This window comes from Homo sapiens, chromosome 9 (genome assembly GCF_000001405.40).
Source record: "Homo sapiens chromosome 9, GRCh38.p14 Primary Assembly".
Lineage (NCBI taxonomy): Eukaryota > Metazoa > Chordata > Mammalia > Primates > Hominidae > Homo > Homo sapiens.
The window spans coordinates 61100751-61117272 of NC_000009.12; the positions used below are offsets into that span (position 1 = coordinate 61100751).

The 16522-nt window shown below is 39.8% G+C and overlaps 1 pseudogene; it reads right to left on the reverse strand.

Annotated features, from left to right (window-relative positions):
- Positions 1-13206, reverse strand: part of LOC101930090 (contactin associated protein family member 3B pseudogene) — a 50205-nt pseudogene extending 36999 nt beyond the window's left edge.

Sequence of the window (16522 nt, forward strand, 5' to 3'; positions counted from 1 at the left end):
AGTAGGCGGAGTTGTGGTGAGCCAAGATCGTACCATTGCACTCCAGCCTGGGCAACGAGAGTAAAACTCCATCTCAAAAAAAGGAGTTTACTTTTATCTTTGAATTCTATAGTTTGAAAATATATGCCTGGTAGAGTTTTGGGGGCATTTCTCCTTCTTTGGTGTTCTCTAAACTTCCTGGATTTGTGGTTTGGTGTCTGATACTAATTTGTGGGAATTCTCAGTCATTATTTCTTCAAATATGCTTCTGTTCCTTTCTTTCTTTCTTCTCCTAGAATTCTCTTTACACGTATGTTACACCTTTTGTAGTTGTGCCACTGTACTCAGATATTATGTTCTGGGTTTTCTTTTTGCAGGGGGTGGGGTTCAGTCTTTTTTTCTCTTTGCTTTTCAGTTTTGCAAGTTTCTATTGAGGTATCTCTAAGCTTAGGGATTCTTTCCAAAGCTGTGCCTGGTCTACTAATAAGCCCATCAAAGGCATTCTTCATTTCTGTTATGCTGTTTTTGATCTCTAGCACTCCTTTTTGCTTCTTAGAATTTCCATCTTGCTGCTTACATTGTTCATCTGGTCTTGCATGCTATCTACTTTACCCATTACAGCTTTTTCCATATTAATTATAGTTGTTTAAAGTCCTGGTCTGATAATTCCAATGTCCCTGCCATATCTGACTCTGGTTTTTGTTTGTTAGTTTTGTTTTTTGGTTTTTTTGAGACAAAATCTCGCTCTGTCACCCAGGGGGGAGTTCAGTGGCACGATCTCAGCTCACTGCAAGCTCCGCCTCCCGGATTCATGCCATTCTTCCTTCTCAGCCTCCCGAGTAGCTGGGACTACAGGCACCCGCCACTACGCCCGGCTAATTTTTTTTGTATTTTTAGTAGAGACAGGGTTTCACAGTGTTAGCCAGAATGGTCTCGATCTCCTGACCTCGTGATCCGCCTGCCTCAGCCTCCCACAGTGCTGGGATTACAGGCGTGAGCCACCGTCTGTTTTTAATGCTTGCTCTGTCTCTTCAAAGTGTGTTTTTTGCCTTGAACTTTTTTCTTTTTCTTTTTTTGGAGACAAGGTCTTTCTCTGTTGCCCAGGCTAGAGTGCAGTGGTGTGACCATGGCTCACTGCAGTCTCCAACTCCCAGGCTCAAGCGATCCTCCCACCTCAGCCTCCCAAGTAGCTGGGACTACAGATACATGTCACCATGCTGTTTTGTTGTTGTTGTTGTTGTTGTTGTTGTTGTTGTCACAATGCTGTTTTGTTGTTGTTTTTGTTGTTGTTGTTGTTGTAGAGGTGGGGGTCTCACTGTGTTGCCCAGACTGGTCTCAAAACTGGTCTAAGGCTATCTTCCCTCCTCAGCTTCTCAAAGTAATAGGATTATAGGTCCAGCTGAAATTTTTTCTTGATAACCAGATGTGATGTACCAGGTAAAAGTAACTGTAACTGCTGTAAAGAGGCCTGCAGTACTATAAGTAACATGTGTGGGAAGGGGAAAGGTTCTGTAGTCCTGTGATTAGGTCTGAGTCCTTTAGGGAGCCTGTGCCTCTGGGCTGTGACCTTCACAAGAGCTTCTCAGCCCTCCCTCCCATCACCACCCTTACATGGGACAGGATGGCCAGAGGTGGGTAATTTCCTTCCTCCAGGCAGGTTAGGCTCTGAAAACAAAAAACAAAACAAAACAAAACAAAACACCAGTAGCTTAGGTGAAATATTTGCCCTTGAGGAAAGACCTTGTTAAGAAGAACAGAAAGCTCTGGTGTACTTCAAGACGGTTCCTTTTCACCTTCCCTTTCTGGAAGCATGAGGAGATTTTTCTCCAACATTCACTGTGAGAACCCGGTCAAGCTAGGTGTCAAACTCACAGAAGTGTGGGGACCCTTCTCTGTCTGGGTCTTCCTGGAGTTCTTAACTCTCAGATGTGTCCACATCGAACATCCAACAATTCGTCAATTAAGTTTAGGTTTTCCTACCTTGACAACGGTTTCCCCAAAGGTTAGTGCTTGTGGAAGAAAACTGTCATTCTGTATATAAGCCTGCCTGTCTCTCCAATTTTGAGGGGCAGTGGTTTGTTCTGTGACCTCACTTCTCTGCTGGATCTAAAAAAATTGGTTAATTTTTCAGTTTGCCTGGCTTTTTACTTGTTCTTAAGATAGAGTGCTGACTTCCAAGCTCTGAAGCAACTGCTTTTTGAAGGTTATTACGATATATACATTTCAAGCTATTAGAGTAGTTTGAAATTGCACATTTTATAATCATTATTGCTTGATTTGTACAACTAGAGAATTTATTACTGGCTATAGAGCAATGCGGCATCTAAAGAGAAGGTGACATTTTCTAGGGCAGAAAAGAGACCAGAGTTTAGTGATTCCCCTATCATTAGCTAGATTTTGTCAGTAGATACTTCCCTAACCAACTTTTCTGAGCCTTGGTTTCCTCATCTTAAAATGATGACAACCAAGGTCCTTCCTGGTTGTGACTTTGGTTGAGTCTTTTGATATCCACCAAGACCATTTTTATGGGATTTCTCACTTTGCTTTCATTGTTTGAGTCGGGATTTTGGAGGTAATTGGTATCTTATGGCAGAACGCTTGTGTTTCTTTATCTTCAGCACATTGCTGTGCAGGTGGCTCTGAATCTTCTGAACATCCCCTGTAAAGTTTTACTATTTTTTGACAATCTTTGCTAAGGCACTTTAAATGCCCATGTAATTTCAGTTATTTTTTTCTTTTTCCTTGATGCTTGCTGACCCATTTGGTTATTGTCCAAATTTATGAAACTTTTGAAACCTTTTGTCAGCACAATAAATGAGAACAGTTTATTCCAGATTTCCACTTTGCAGAGAGTTGGAAGAGCTAGGTGACAACAAATTTCTGTAAAAATGTAACTATTTAAAAGGCGTTCTAGTGCAATCTTCTATAATCAAGCTGTGTTCATTTCTTTTTTTCCTTTTTTTTTTTTTTTTTGAGATGCAGTCTTGCTCTGTCGCCAGGCTGGAGTGCAATGGCGCAATCTTGGCTCACTGCAACCTCTGCCTCTCTGGTTCAAGGGATTCTCCTGCCTCAGCCTCCCAAGTAGCTGGGACTACAGGTGCGGGCGCCACCACGCCCAGCTAATTTTTGTATTTTTAGTAGAGATGGGGTTTCACCACGTTGGCCAGGATGGTCTCGATCTCTCGATCTCGTGATCTGTCCGCCTTGGCCTCCCAAAGTGCTGAGATTACAGGCGTGAGCCACCATGCGCAGCCCAAGCAGTGTTCATTTCTAATATCTAAAGCACGAGAAATAATCAAGTTTCTTTGGTTATGAAAAAATTATATGACATAAAAATCACTAAATTATTTAAGATGCACATAGAACATTAACATATCTATGTTATTTCTTAGCATTTTTAAACACCTCTGTTTTTTCTAAATACAGAAAGCATGTAAATCACCGAATCAGAGGTTTGTATTTTATCATGATGCACATGAACAGATGTATTATGAGGAGTGTAGGAGCTAGAGAGATGCCTTGGCAGAGCATTGAATCTTGCCTATAATCCAATCCAGGCAAAGAAGAAATACAAGAAAATTTTGTTGACAACAAAATTAATAAATACATATTTAATGCTTCTACTTAGCAAGTACACACTATCAAACTGCATGTTTTAATAATGCTGCCAACTAGGTAAATTTCTCCTTGGTCTATTCTGATCTATGCATCTAACGATTATCAACATACCTGTCATATTGCAGTACACAAGAAATGGTCCCAGGGGGCCACTTCCATCTGCATCAATATAGTAAAGCCCGGATGGGTTCCCTCGGTGCTTGTGGGCTTCACAAGACTGCTCGTAGAGAGCTGTAGGAGAACACCAGCCAAAAGAACCAGAAAAAATATCTCCAGATGTTGAGTCAGTGTCCAAAGGTTTGCATTTCTGAATTACAGACATGTGATACATATGACCCAACATCATTTTTATAGTGTATGACAGTATATTTGATGAGATGCAAAAAAAATGACATTTAAAAAATTAAATCTATTTTTATTAACAAAGGAGAAAAAAATTACCTAGTCAAAATACATTCAAAGGTTGGATGTTGTTAGATGCTGAATAAATATTCGGTCACAGTGTATTTCTATTTTGAGGAAGAAGGAAAGATTGTGTTGGTGTTCAAACATGAAGATGTGCTTACAGTGGGAATGCGATACTATCTTCAATAGACAATCTTTTGGCAATGTCTAGAGACTGTACTTTCTCTACATAAATGTTTTCTTTTGCTTTTAGGCAAGAAAGCATGCAAACTCTGAAGCACAGTGTAAAACACTTGAAGAGATACGAGAGGAAAACTTTGTGAATCTGAATTCTGCGTGCTATTGAAGCATGGTTCTTTCCAAACTCATGGCAACTATACCTCAGAATTAAACTCTATAATTAAGGAAGAAACCCTCATTCTCCCTGTAATAACTGAATACCTAAGCACATTAAAATGCCTAAATAATCTGGTATTTTCCCATAAGCATTCTGTAAAGTTTTTCTTAAGCTATGCGGCAGTTATACCCTTTGCTTCCTTTAAAACAATATGAATGAGCATTTTAAAGAGATAAATGGAATTTATAAGCTATCAACTTCTCGTCATTAAAAAATAATTAAAGCTGATTTAAAAAAGAAACATCCCTAAGTATTTTGCAAGTGACAATTCAAGACAGCCGAAATTCAAAACAGGAGAGAAACTTTTTTGAAAGACATCCCTATATAATGTAAATTTACTCTAGCATAATTGAGTATTTTCATTTGTGCAAGTAAATGTTTTACCAAGTACAAGGTATGGAATTAATATCTGCAGGAGATGGACATTGCTAATCTTTATTTTTTTGCCACTTATGGCATATTGATTTAAATAGATACATATATTTGTATATGTCTGGTGGGATTCACTCAAATTAATAACAATACTTAAATATAGGGCACAGACTAGGTTTGGAATGGAGACAAATATTGAGGAAAGTGACTAGAACTTGTGCTTTATGTGAACTGTTTGGCTTTTTAAATGATAATGTATACATGTATTAATGTATAGTATATATTAATTGAATACAATTGATTTTAATTGTATAATTAATTATATACAATGAGTTATATACAATTAATAATTATATACAATTAATTAGTTGCACATAATTGATACATGTTATACAATTAGAAATACAAAATAACCTATTCAACTAGGTGTGGCAGTCTAGTCTCACAGTGAATGACTGTGGGCTTGGCAAATTTCTACCTATAGCCATCAATTATTAGATGAGACTGACACTTGAAATACTTTTTCAATCTCCTGATATTTTCCCTCAGAAGTTTTTGGAGTTATATTTTGATTGCAGTGAATAACCATGGACTAATATAACTCATTGATTAATTGCAATATTAAATGCAATCAGACAATGCTGAGTGTGGTGGCAGATATAAATTTTCCAGGTAACACACAAGATTAGGCTTCTGCTTTTAGGTAAGATACTATGCCTGGAGGATGAAAGATACACAGAAGTAAAAGATGTGGTCCCTGCACCAACTCTATGACCTTATCAAGACATTCAGCCTCTGGTGTGAGAGGCCACTCAACTCCTAGAAAATGTGTCACAGCGGCTGGGCATGGTGGCTCATGCCTGTAATCCCAGCACTTCGGGAGTCCAAGGCAGGTGGATCACAAGGTCAGGAGATCGAGACCATCCCGGCTAACATGGCAAAACCCCATCTCTACTAAAAATACAAAAAATTAGCCGGGCGTGGTGGCGGGCGCCTGTAGTCCCAGGTACTCGGGAGGCTGAGGCAGGAGAATGGCGTGAACCTGGGAGGCGGAACTTGCAGTGAGCTGAGATCATGCCACTGGGCTCCAGCCTGGGCGACAGAGCAAGACTCCATCTCAAAAAACAAAAAACAAACAAACAAAAAAAAGAAAATGTGTCACAGCTTTATAAACAGGGACCCTTCTAGTACAAAAATCATACTTCATGCTTCAATCTGTGAGAGTCACTCCTGGACTGTCTCCTCTTTTGCCCAGATCCTTTACAGAACCTCAGGACTGGGAGCGCAGAATTCTCATTGCAAGTATGAAGTGTGGTTTTAACACTCCACAGCCTGCCTTTCTCCTGTGGCTTTTGTGAAAATCAAATGTCTCACGGAAGAGTTCTTAAAAGTTTCAATTAGGAACTCAGGATGAGCAAGTGGAACTGAGGACTTTGCATCTCTGTTTCCTTGAAGACCCAGGGATGGGCGAAATATTCCTGAGGAGAAGTTGCTCAGAAACGTCAGTAGAGATATACAGAAAGAAAACTCTAAAAGTTAAAAACAAATAAGAAAAAAAAGGCTTTTCAGATTCTGTGATGTTCTAATTATAACAGGTTAGAGGTCAATAAAACGGCATGGCCTTTGAAATTCACAGAGGGTGATTCTTCAGTAAAGACAGATGATTTTTAATATGGCAGAGGCAGTTGAGAAGTGTTAGAATATGCCATCCCTTAGACATTGTTCTTACACTTAAATGTCTACCAGAAGCATGAGGAAGGTTGGTTACAAGAGACTCGGGGCCCCATCTCCAGCGATTCTGATTTAGTAGGTTTGGGTAAGGCCTGAGAGTCTTTACTTGCAACAGGTTCCCAGGGGCTGTGGGTGCTGCTGGTGCATGGACCACCAATCAGGCATCCTGGAGCCAAGGCTGTGGAGCCAACCTCCTTAGCTCAACTCCTCATCTTCCCACAAACTAGCTGGGGGCCAAGTTACTTAACCTCTTTCTGTCCTCAACTCTGCAATGAAGATAATAGTACTTTCTTCCAGCTGCTTTAGGGTTAAATGAGTTAATATATGCAAAGCAATAGCAGAGGGCTGACATAAGTACTCAATACATTAATACTTTTACAATTATTCACTTTACAATCATCATCACCACCACCAAAGAAAATCACAGTCATTGTAAGAGATCTTAAAGGTCCTCTAGTTTCTAGCTGATATCCCATTACCTCTTCAAAAATCTTGCCATGTACAATCCCATGATTGCATCATCCCAGTGATTGTTAAAAAATCTTTAAATACCTTAAATGCAACATTGACAGCCTGGCAAGGGGTTGTTTTTCCACCTTTCTTTGACTGAGAAGATTCTCAGAATTAAAATTATGGTCCAACTCAAGTAATGGAACAAGCTGTTAACATCATGCATTTTTAATTTAATTTAGTTTCTACCTTTTACTATATCTGATTCTCCTAGACTTATTTCCCCATTGCTTGCCAGTTTCTTTTTTCAATCCTATGTGTACCACGTATTTCTGTGCACTGTCTCAACACCCTTGTATTAAATAAGGTGGATTAAAAGTAAACTAGAAATTGAATGCTGAAATATCTCTTCTGATGTGTTTGCATGATTGCAAATATGCAGATACATATAAACAACTAATCAAAATGAAATGACAAAGAGATGCTGACAGAAACGAGAGGGAGGTGTGAGGCTTACAGGAATGGCAGGTCTCGCCCGTATAGCCTGTGCCCAGACAATCACAGGAGAAGGTGTCCCACGACTGGGAACACTCGCCCCCATGCTCACAGTAGCTGGGCAAGCACCTAAAAGAAAACAGATACAACTGCTGTTTCCCTTTTTCAATCATCAAAAAATAAGTGTCTTACCAAAAACAGGTTAACCAAAAACAGGTTAATGTGAAAGAGCAGCATACGCAAGATAACCCCACATGACGTGATTACTGGGTCTGCCATCAAGGTTCTCTAATTATATTGACAAACTTTAGATAAATATATCCATTAGCATGCAGCTGATTATTAGGTTTCTGAGACAGCTGAATTTTCAACACATTTCTTTTTTTCTTTGTCCCAAGTGACACAATAACTTGACATGTGGCTAGCAAAACCAATTACATACATAAAACTATGAAATATGGCATGCTCCGTTACTATATTGTGGTCATTTTTAAAAGAAAGAAGGGGAAACAGGGAGGAAGATACAGAGGGGAGAAGAAAGAAACAGGAACAGCTTCAGTCACATAGTGACAGAGGTTCAGAAATTTTGAAGAACATTTAATTTAGGTCATCTTGTCACCTTTTAGATTTGCAATAAGCAGTCGGTTATTGCTTTTTAAGCAATCTTAACACTGGTAATATGTCAATATGACCCAAAGCAATCTACAAATTCAATACAATTCTTATTAAAATCCCAATGCCTTTTTTTGCAGAAAACAAAAATCCATCCTAAAATTCATAGGGAACCTCAAGGGACCCTGAACCAGCCAATGTTGAAAAAGAACAGTTGGAGGTCTCACACTTTCAGAATTCTTGGAATCTGCTGCCGCCCACTATAATATTGGGGGCCTAGCATGCCTGCCTCTCAGGATTGTTAGGGGAACAGGGAGCAGGGTACACTATGGAAACTGACCAGCACCTGACACAGAGTGTCACCAAGAGGTAGTGTGACCTTCTGGAGGCCTGGCCTGAATACCATGACCCACCTCTGCCTTGAGCAGGGTTGGATCTCAGCCTCTGGCCGCTGTCTCCCACTGCTGAGTACACAGCTAAGGACCTGGTAAAGAGTGAAGATTCTAAAGGACACTGACCTTCCAGGCCGTGAGGGACATCATAGTCCATGCTGGAGCGGCAGAGGCGGGGAGCACCCCAGTGCCCCTCACCATGGGACCCAGAGAAGTAACAGAAGAGGGGCCGGGAGGTTGTGACAGGCCTCCTGGCTGTGGTGGAAGGACGACCAGCAGAGAACTGGGGTATGAAGTTGACAGAAAGCCCCAGGGGCCTGTATTTGGCCTCGGGAGAGATCCTTTGAGGGGAACCTGAGGGGCTGGGAAGAATCCGCAGCATTCCCTACCCTCCCCATGCCCCCAGCCCCCTATCCTGGCTCTCCAGCACTGCACCACCAGCTCAGGGCCAAGACTTCCATAATTACATGGTGTTAATGAGCATTTAGTCTGCATTCAGAGAAGAGTTAGGGGCCATGAGAATCACAACTTTTCAAGTATTTCAAAGGCCAAGGCATGGAAAAGCCTGTGTGAACTGATCAGAAGAGGGGGAGCTGGAGCGACAGGCAAGGTTGGCTGGGGTGGGGGCCCACCCTCATACCATTTTTAAAAGAGCAGCTGTTCCTCTTCCCCCACATCCTTCTCCCTCTCCTCCCCTTCCTTCTTAATATAATGGAGCATCTTAAGATCATACCTGACTTGAAGATTCCACAAATTTTAAAAAACATTAAAAACCACTGCTGTTTGATATCAACAGGGAGAGAATAACTTTAGTTCAAAATATTTGGAAATAAGAACTATTTAAGTGATCTAGAGACTATCAACATGTATACACTATTTTTCTTCAACTAAACACAACATCAATTGTGAAAAATTTACATGTATTACAAATAATAGAGGAAGTAGCTAGCATGCAGAAGACCAACAGAGGGGAAGATGGCAGAGGGAGGGCAGGAGTGGGGTCAGAAGCCTGGTCAGCACAGCCAGGTGAGGAGGTGACGGAGGCCTCCCTGCTCAGGGAGCCCCAGTTGGAACGCAGCACAGGACTCCACTGGAAGCTCTGCCATGTGGTATACAGGGCAAACCTTAAAACAGTATAGGAATTTGATGTAAGAGGTGATTAAGAAGTTAAAACCTATCCTGGCCGGGTGTGGTGGCTCACGCCTGTAATCCCAGCACTTTGGGAGGCTGACGCGGGTGGATCACGAGGTCAGGAGATCGAGACCATCCTGGCTAACACGGTGAAACCCCGTCTTTACTAAAAATACAAAAAATTAGCCAGGTGTGGTGGCGGGCGCCTGTAGTTCCAGCTACTCGGGAGGCCGAGGCACGAGATTGGCATGAACCCAGGAGGCGGAGCTTGCAGTGAGCCGAGATCGTGCCACTGCACTCCAGCCTGGGCGATAGAGCGAGACTCTGTCTCAAAAAAACAAACAAACAAACACCTATCCAAACATAAACATCCATTATTTGTGACTCTGTCATCCAAAGTGCCCATTGCTATTTTTTGCGTAGCTTAAAATTTTGACTAAAAAAGATAACTTCATACCCCTTATCTGTCCCTAAGTAGGATTTTTAGGTCTGGTATTTGAGTAACATATGTTTCTACTTTGTGAGTTAGTGATATGGTTTGGCTGTGTCCCCACCCAAATCTCATCTTAAATTGTAGTTCTCATAATTCCCACCGTGTCATGGGAGGGAACCTGTGGGAGGTAACTGAATCATGCGGGCAGATCTTTCTCAGGCTTTTCTCATGATAGTGAATAAGTCTCACGAGATCTGATGGTTTTATAAAGGGGAGTTTCCCTGCACAGGTTCTCTTGCGTGCTGCCATATAAGACGTGTCTTGTTTCTCCTTCACCTTCTGCTATCATTGTGAGGCCTCCCCAGCCATGTGGAACTGTGAATCCATTAAGCCTTTTTTCTTTATAATTACCCAGTCTTGGGTATATCTTTATTAGCAGCATGAGAACAGACTAATACAATTAGATTTTTGTTTGTTTGTTTGTTTGTTTGTTAACAACAACAAAGAAAGGCTGATAGATGCTTACAGGCCTGTTTTCAGGATACTTAAAAGTGAATTTTCAGTATTTTCAGGTTTTGAAAACTTTATGTAAAGGGAACAGCAAAGGTCTTTAATTTTAACTCTGTAGGATGTCATTTTGTGTCCCCAAAGTTTTCTAATTTTATTGCTTTATAAAATTCAGGTTTTCAAAATAATCTCAGAGGAGCTAGTCTTCTACGTTACTGAATTTGGGAATGAAATAGTAAATAGCCTTTATTTGTAGCCCTATTTGAAAATGATTTAAAAGTGCTTTCTTAAAATCCTTATCTGCAATGATTATTGTACACATCATGGCTGAAGTTTAAGTGTGGCTCACACATACATGCTTAGTTGAGCATGTTTACAAGTAACTTTGGGGTACAATTTGGAGGGCTTTTTAAAATGTGGGATCTTAGATACCAAGTTAGGCACCAATGTAACTCTTGGGACTTTAAGGTTAAAACAAAACAGCCTATAACAGTAAAAACAATAGTTTTGTACTTTGGGAGCTACATGCACAAAGCAGGCAACATGGATCATCTCTGAAAAGAGGCAGCCTCACAATATATATCTCATAACAGAAACACTGCAAATGGATCATATTTTGTGAGTAATTAACAAGGTATCAAAATAATGTCATACAAGTGAAGAAAATCACACTTGCATCACAGTTGAGCTGACAGCTGTTGTCACTCACAGTGTGGGCCCATGGGACATTACCCCTTAACTCAGAGAGAGCTGAGCTCCCTGGCTAGTTAGCTGAGCAACTTGGGATTATATTAAGTGAGCAAATGGCCAGAAACCTTCCCAACTACCCTTCCCACGACTACAGAGTGGGGTTCTGGAGCTGGTGTTGAGATGTAAATGCAGTCCCAGCTGTGTGCCAAGAATTCAAATCTCAAGGTCAAGAATGAGAGGTACTTGACAAATTCTTACACTTCATATACTCCTCATCTTTGAATTAATTCATTTTTCCTACAAATCAACAGAATGTTCACAGGGGGAAATTATTCCATGCTGAATAAATAAAGTCCATATGAATGAACTTTTCATTTAGTAGTAATTGCGTTTTTTTAGTATGTCACTAACTGTGAGTTATAAATTAAAACCTGTTTAGCCAGAGAGGATAATTTTACAGTTAATGTTTAAAACAGAATTGACTAACTGAATTTACTCCATGAAGAAGGCAGGTTTTGAAAGTTCTACCAGATGCAGATATAACTTTTTTTTTTTTTTTTTTTTGAGAAGAGTCTGGCTCTGTTGCCCAGGCTGGAGTGCAGTGGCACGATCTCATTCACTGCAAGCTCCGCCTCCCGGGTTCACGCCATTCTCCTGCCTCAGCGTGCCGAGTAGCTGGAACTACAGGCGCCCGCCACCATGCCTGGCTAATTTTTTGCATTTTTAGTAGAGACGGGGTTTCACCATGTTAGCCAGGATGGTCTCGATCTCCTGACCTCGTGATCCGCCCGCCTCGGCCTCCCAAAGTGCTGGGATTACAGGCGTGAGCCACCGCGCTGGGCCAGATTATCGCTTTTTAATTTTTAAATCTGTAGCATTTATTTATTCACTGAAAGTAAATACCAAATGTACTGGGGCAAATTGTATGTAGAAATATTATTTTTCCAGGTGTGACCCTATGATTCTTCTCAGCCAAAATCTTTGTAAAATTATGGCACAACTAGCATAACTGTGGTTGTAATACTTATTTGAATTAAATGTTTTTCTTGTCTAACCTCCATATTTCATTGAGTATGTCCTTCTGCACACATCTTCATCCGTCTTTATGATTCAAACTTTTCTAGCAGAAATTACTTTTTATTTTCTCTGCAGAACATGTGGGGTTGGGTGGCTGATGAATAGTAACCTGGCAAATTCCTCTGCCTGGAAAAATATCATCCAACTGATGGGTGTGTGGTTGCAAAAGCGAGCTTTATAACTATTAGCTGAGCAACTCGGGATCATATTAAGGTAAAATTCATAAGGTGTATATCTTCTAATAAAATACTATCATTTAAAAAATGCTATTTATTCCATTAGAGATGCAGTTTTTGCTTTTGTTTTGAGACGGAGTCTCGCTCTGTCACCCAGGCTGGAGTGCAGTGGCGCGATCTCTGCTCACTGCAAGCTCCACCTCCCGGGTTCATGCCATTCTCCTGCCTCAGCCTCCCCAGTAGCTGGGACTACAGGCGCCTGCCACCACGCCTGGCTAATTTTTTTTTTCTGTATTTTTAGTAGAGACGGGGTTTCACCATGTTAGCCAGGATGAAGTTGATCTCCTGATCTCGTGATCCGCCAGCCTCAGCCGCATTACAGGTGTGAGCCACCACGCCCGGCCAAGATGAAGTTTTCTAATCCTCATAGTAATTATGACTATTTCATTCCCTCTCGAAAGATAACAACAACAAAAAAGAGAACGGAATGCCTTTTTCCAGCTGTCTACATTTGCTTTCTTCAACTTTGAAAACAGGCAAGCTAAAGTGACCTAGGATGGCCCTTACCTGTCTGTGATGCCGCAGGAGTCTATCTGGAGGTCCCTGAAACTCCCCAGCGCCCCCTGCTGTACTAAGATGGGATCCACCGCTTTGTCACCAATGGTGATGAGCCTTAGGCAGCCCTGAAACCCTCCCAGGGGGCTTTTACATCCAGAGCCAGAGCTGTTGCCCAGGCAGCCTGAATATGAAGACAAAAATAGGACAAAAGCAACAACTATGACAAAACTATTCCACAGTATTTACTATATGAAGACTGCTGCTCCCGCTTGTTTATGGACATCGGTATGATGCGATGAGCTTCACCATTCATTAGAGAGGTGAGAAGGGGCAAGGTTAGAACTGATCAAATTTAAGATAATACCTGGAATTCAGAATAAGAAATTACGGGGGAAAATTCAGATCTAAAATTCCTATAACAGGAATTATTTCCCAACCAAGTGAAAAGAGGTTTGGCTTCTTTTGTGAAATCTCATCTAAGAAATAAGCATGCATTTTAGCATTATGTAGTATAAGTGAAAAAAATTAAAGTGGAGGTTAAATTAAAATAAATGAAATCATAGCCCAAATTTTATTTAGGATATGCTGTGAAGTGTGAAAAATGCTACCTGAAAATATAATTGTGTACTACCATTTATCTAAAATATGTTAAATATCTACCCTATAGGTGTTTTTGTGTGTTGCGATGTATGTATATTTGGGAGTATTTAAAAACGTATTTTTTTATACTGACTGGGTGGAAATACCTAGATTTGCTTTTCTAGTAACACTTTCTTTGGTATTAGGTACTTTAGTCAAATATATAACTAAAGATTAAATTCTAATGTTAACAACAACACAAAAAGTAACAGGACATAACACACTGTTAGGGTACATAAGGATAAAAATTTGCAGTCCAGAATGTTCTATGAATAGAAAGAGATAAAATAGACATTTATTTCCAATAGTAGAAGTTAAATATTAAAAGTTTCACTACAATCGTCAGCTAATTTCACCTAAATTACAAATGACAATGCTTATGACATCACTTCCCTTTACTATGTGGGCTTGTTTTGTGAAACAAGAACAGTACTTATAAGAAGCAGTGGTGAGTGCCTGACTTTGACGTAAGCAGTATTACTCCACACCAGTCCAAGCATATAGGAAAGTAGTGTCTTGAACTTACTCCCACCCTCTTGAGTTACAATATATAACCTAATAATGGAACTCTAAGTTTGAAAAGTAAGGAAAAGGATGAGAGTACACACTCTAGTTAAAGAAAACACAATAATTGTAAAATCTTTTTATTTAAAGACAACTGTTTGTAGAAAGAGTCATATTAATTCAGAATAAAATCATAAGGCATTTGTCTAAGTCAGGAGTCTGCAAAGGTTTTCTGTAAAACGCAGATAGTAAACACTTTTGGTTTTGTGGGTCACACCTGGTCTCTGTTGCATGTCCTTCTTGTTATAACCCTTTAAAAATACAAAGCAGGGCTGGGCGCGGTGGCTCACGCCTGTAAACCCAGCACTTTGGGAGGCCAAGGCGGGCGGATCATGAGAACCGTGAGGAGAGATTTTACCCTACTTGCAAGCTAACAAATGAGTCTGCCAGTTTGTTTCATCGTTGCGGCAGAAGACTCCTGGGTCAAAGCAAAGGACTGTATTACTTACAGCATAGCAAACAATATGAGCATCAGCATATTTGCATCAATTCCCTTGCCTCCAAGTCCTCTGGGGGAATATGGATGGGCACAGATGGATGTGTGCACACGCAGTGGGTTACATGACAAGTGAGGAGCCCTGAGCTTAGGGAATTCAAAGTTTTCTACAGGCAGCAGGCATTGCTTGCCCTTTGGCAACACTGCTGAAATAAATCTCTTATAGTTCAAGATGTATTGATAAGCATGTTAAGCTTATTTTTATACATGAAGAACAACAAATTGTTATTTTCTATGGTTATTCACAGTATCTCAAAATCTATGTGATATTTTACTAGCTTAGTTTTATTATAATTTTAAAAGACCATTTGGGTTCCTTTGTTAGTGGACAAGAATAAAAAGAGATAAATTAGTTACTTTCTTAAAGCTAAGCAACATCATTTTCTATTGAGGAACCCAAAACTTTCCTAACTTTTACAAATGTTTGTAAATTGTAGGTTCTGTGACAGCCTGTGCTATAAAATTTCATAAGCTTATAAGAGCTTTCTTAACACAGCTGTGGACTTTTCTCCTGGTGTTGTACAGCAGTTCAAATTAGCTCAAGAATCATAAACCCTATATTTGAACAGCTATATAATATTATATATTTATTTTCCCATTTGATGTTGCATTACTTTTTCTACCAACCTTCTTACAATAAATTCATAAATATCTTAATTATAGCAAATGTGAAGTTCTTAAAGATGAGAATCATCAAACATATTTCTATTACAGAGATATATTCTTCAAAAAGTCATCTAAAATAGAAACCCAACTGGGAGACACCTTAAAAGTTTATCTGCCACAACAGAAGCTTTGCTTAAAATACTGTTCTCTTTGTATTTGTGTTAATAATTGATTTGTCTTTGAAATTAAATTAGGAATCTACTATATCTAGTGGTCTTGAAATCAAAGCCCCCTCCCCATTCCTTATCTTCACTGCTGTGTTCAAAAAGACTAGACTCCAGGGACGTGTCCAAAGCTGGGTTAAATATAGGATGTCTGAGAGACACCCTTCTTTCATAGTTCGAGGGTAAGCATGTAGCTGTATGTGCATGGAGGGGCGGGTGGAGGAGGTTAGCTGTATCAGGGTAGGCATAATACTATATTTTAAATCCCTCCTTCTGTTATAAATGTAAGCTGAAAATAGTCTCTGCTCCCAGCGGCAGCAATCGTAAACTCGCTTAGTTCTGCCTGTAATTTAATTTAACATGTGACATTGAGACAATCTTTCTTTTAATTCACATATAACTTCTTCCTCACCCACATTCCAGCCAAATAAACACATACTTGTAGAAAAATGTGACTGTTTTCCTGGGCATCCCAACAATTCAACTGTCCCTAAAACACCAGGTTCAATTTAAACTCTATTAGCTTGTCTGAGGGCTAAGATATCTAAAAATCCAAGACAAATTATCATTTGCATATATGGAGGCAGCTCTGATTGAACAGATATCTAAAACGGTTAGGTAATATTTTAGATCAAATCACTCCATCAAGTCAAAGACTAATTCAACTGTTTGTTCAGTTTCCAAAGGAATCCTTCCATTTTGGTCTAGTGTTCCATAAACATTGACTTTACATGAAAAGGACAGTGAAGAGATCTCTTGAACCGGCCAGAAAGTTGAAGCTCAAGGTTGTAGAAGATTTGAGCTACCAAGTCCAAGCCTTCTAAAAGATTCCCAATATGTATATATATATCATTTTCTTAACTCTACATTTGCCTGAGAAACAATGACATTCAATAAACTTTTTTCCATGGGATTTAGTTACAAAATAAGTCAAGGAACTACAAGTTATATATTTCCTGGAAAAATATAC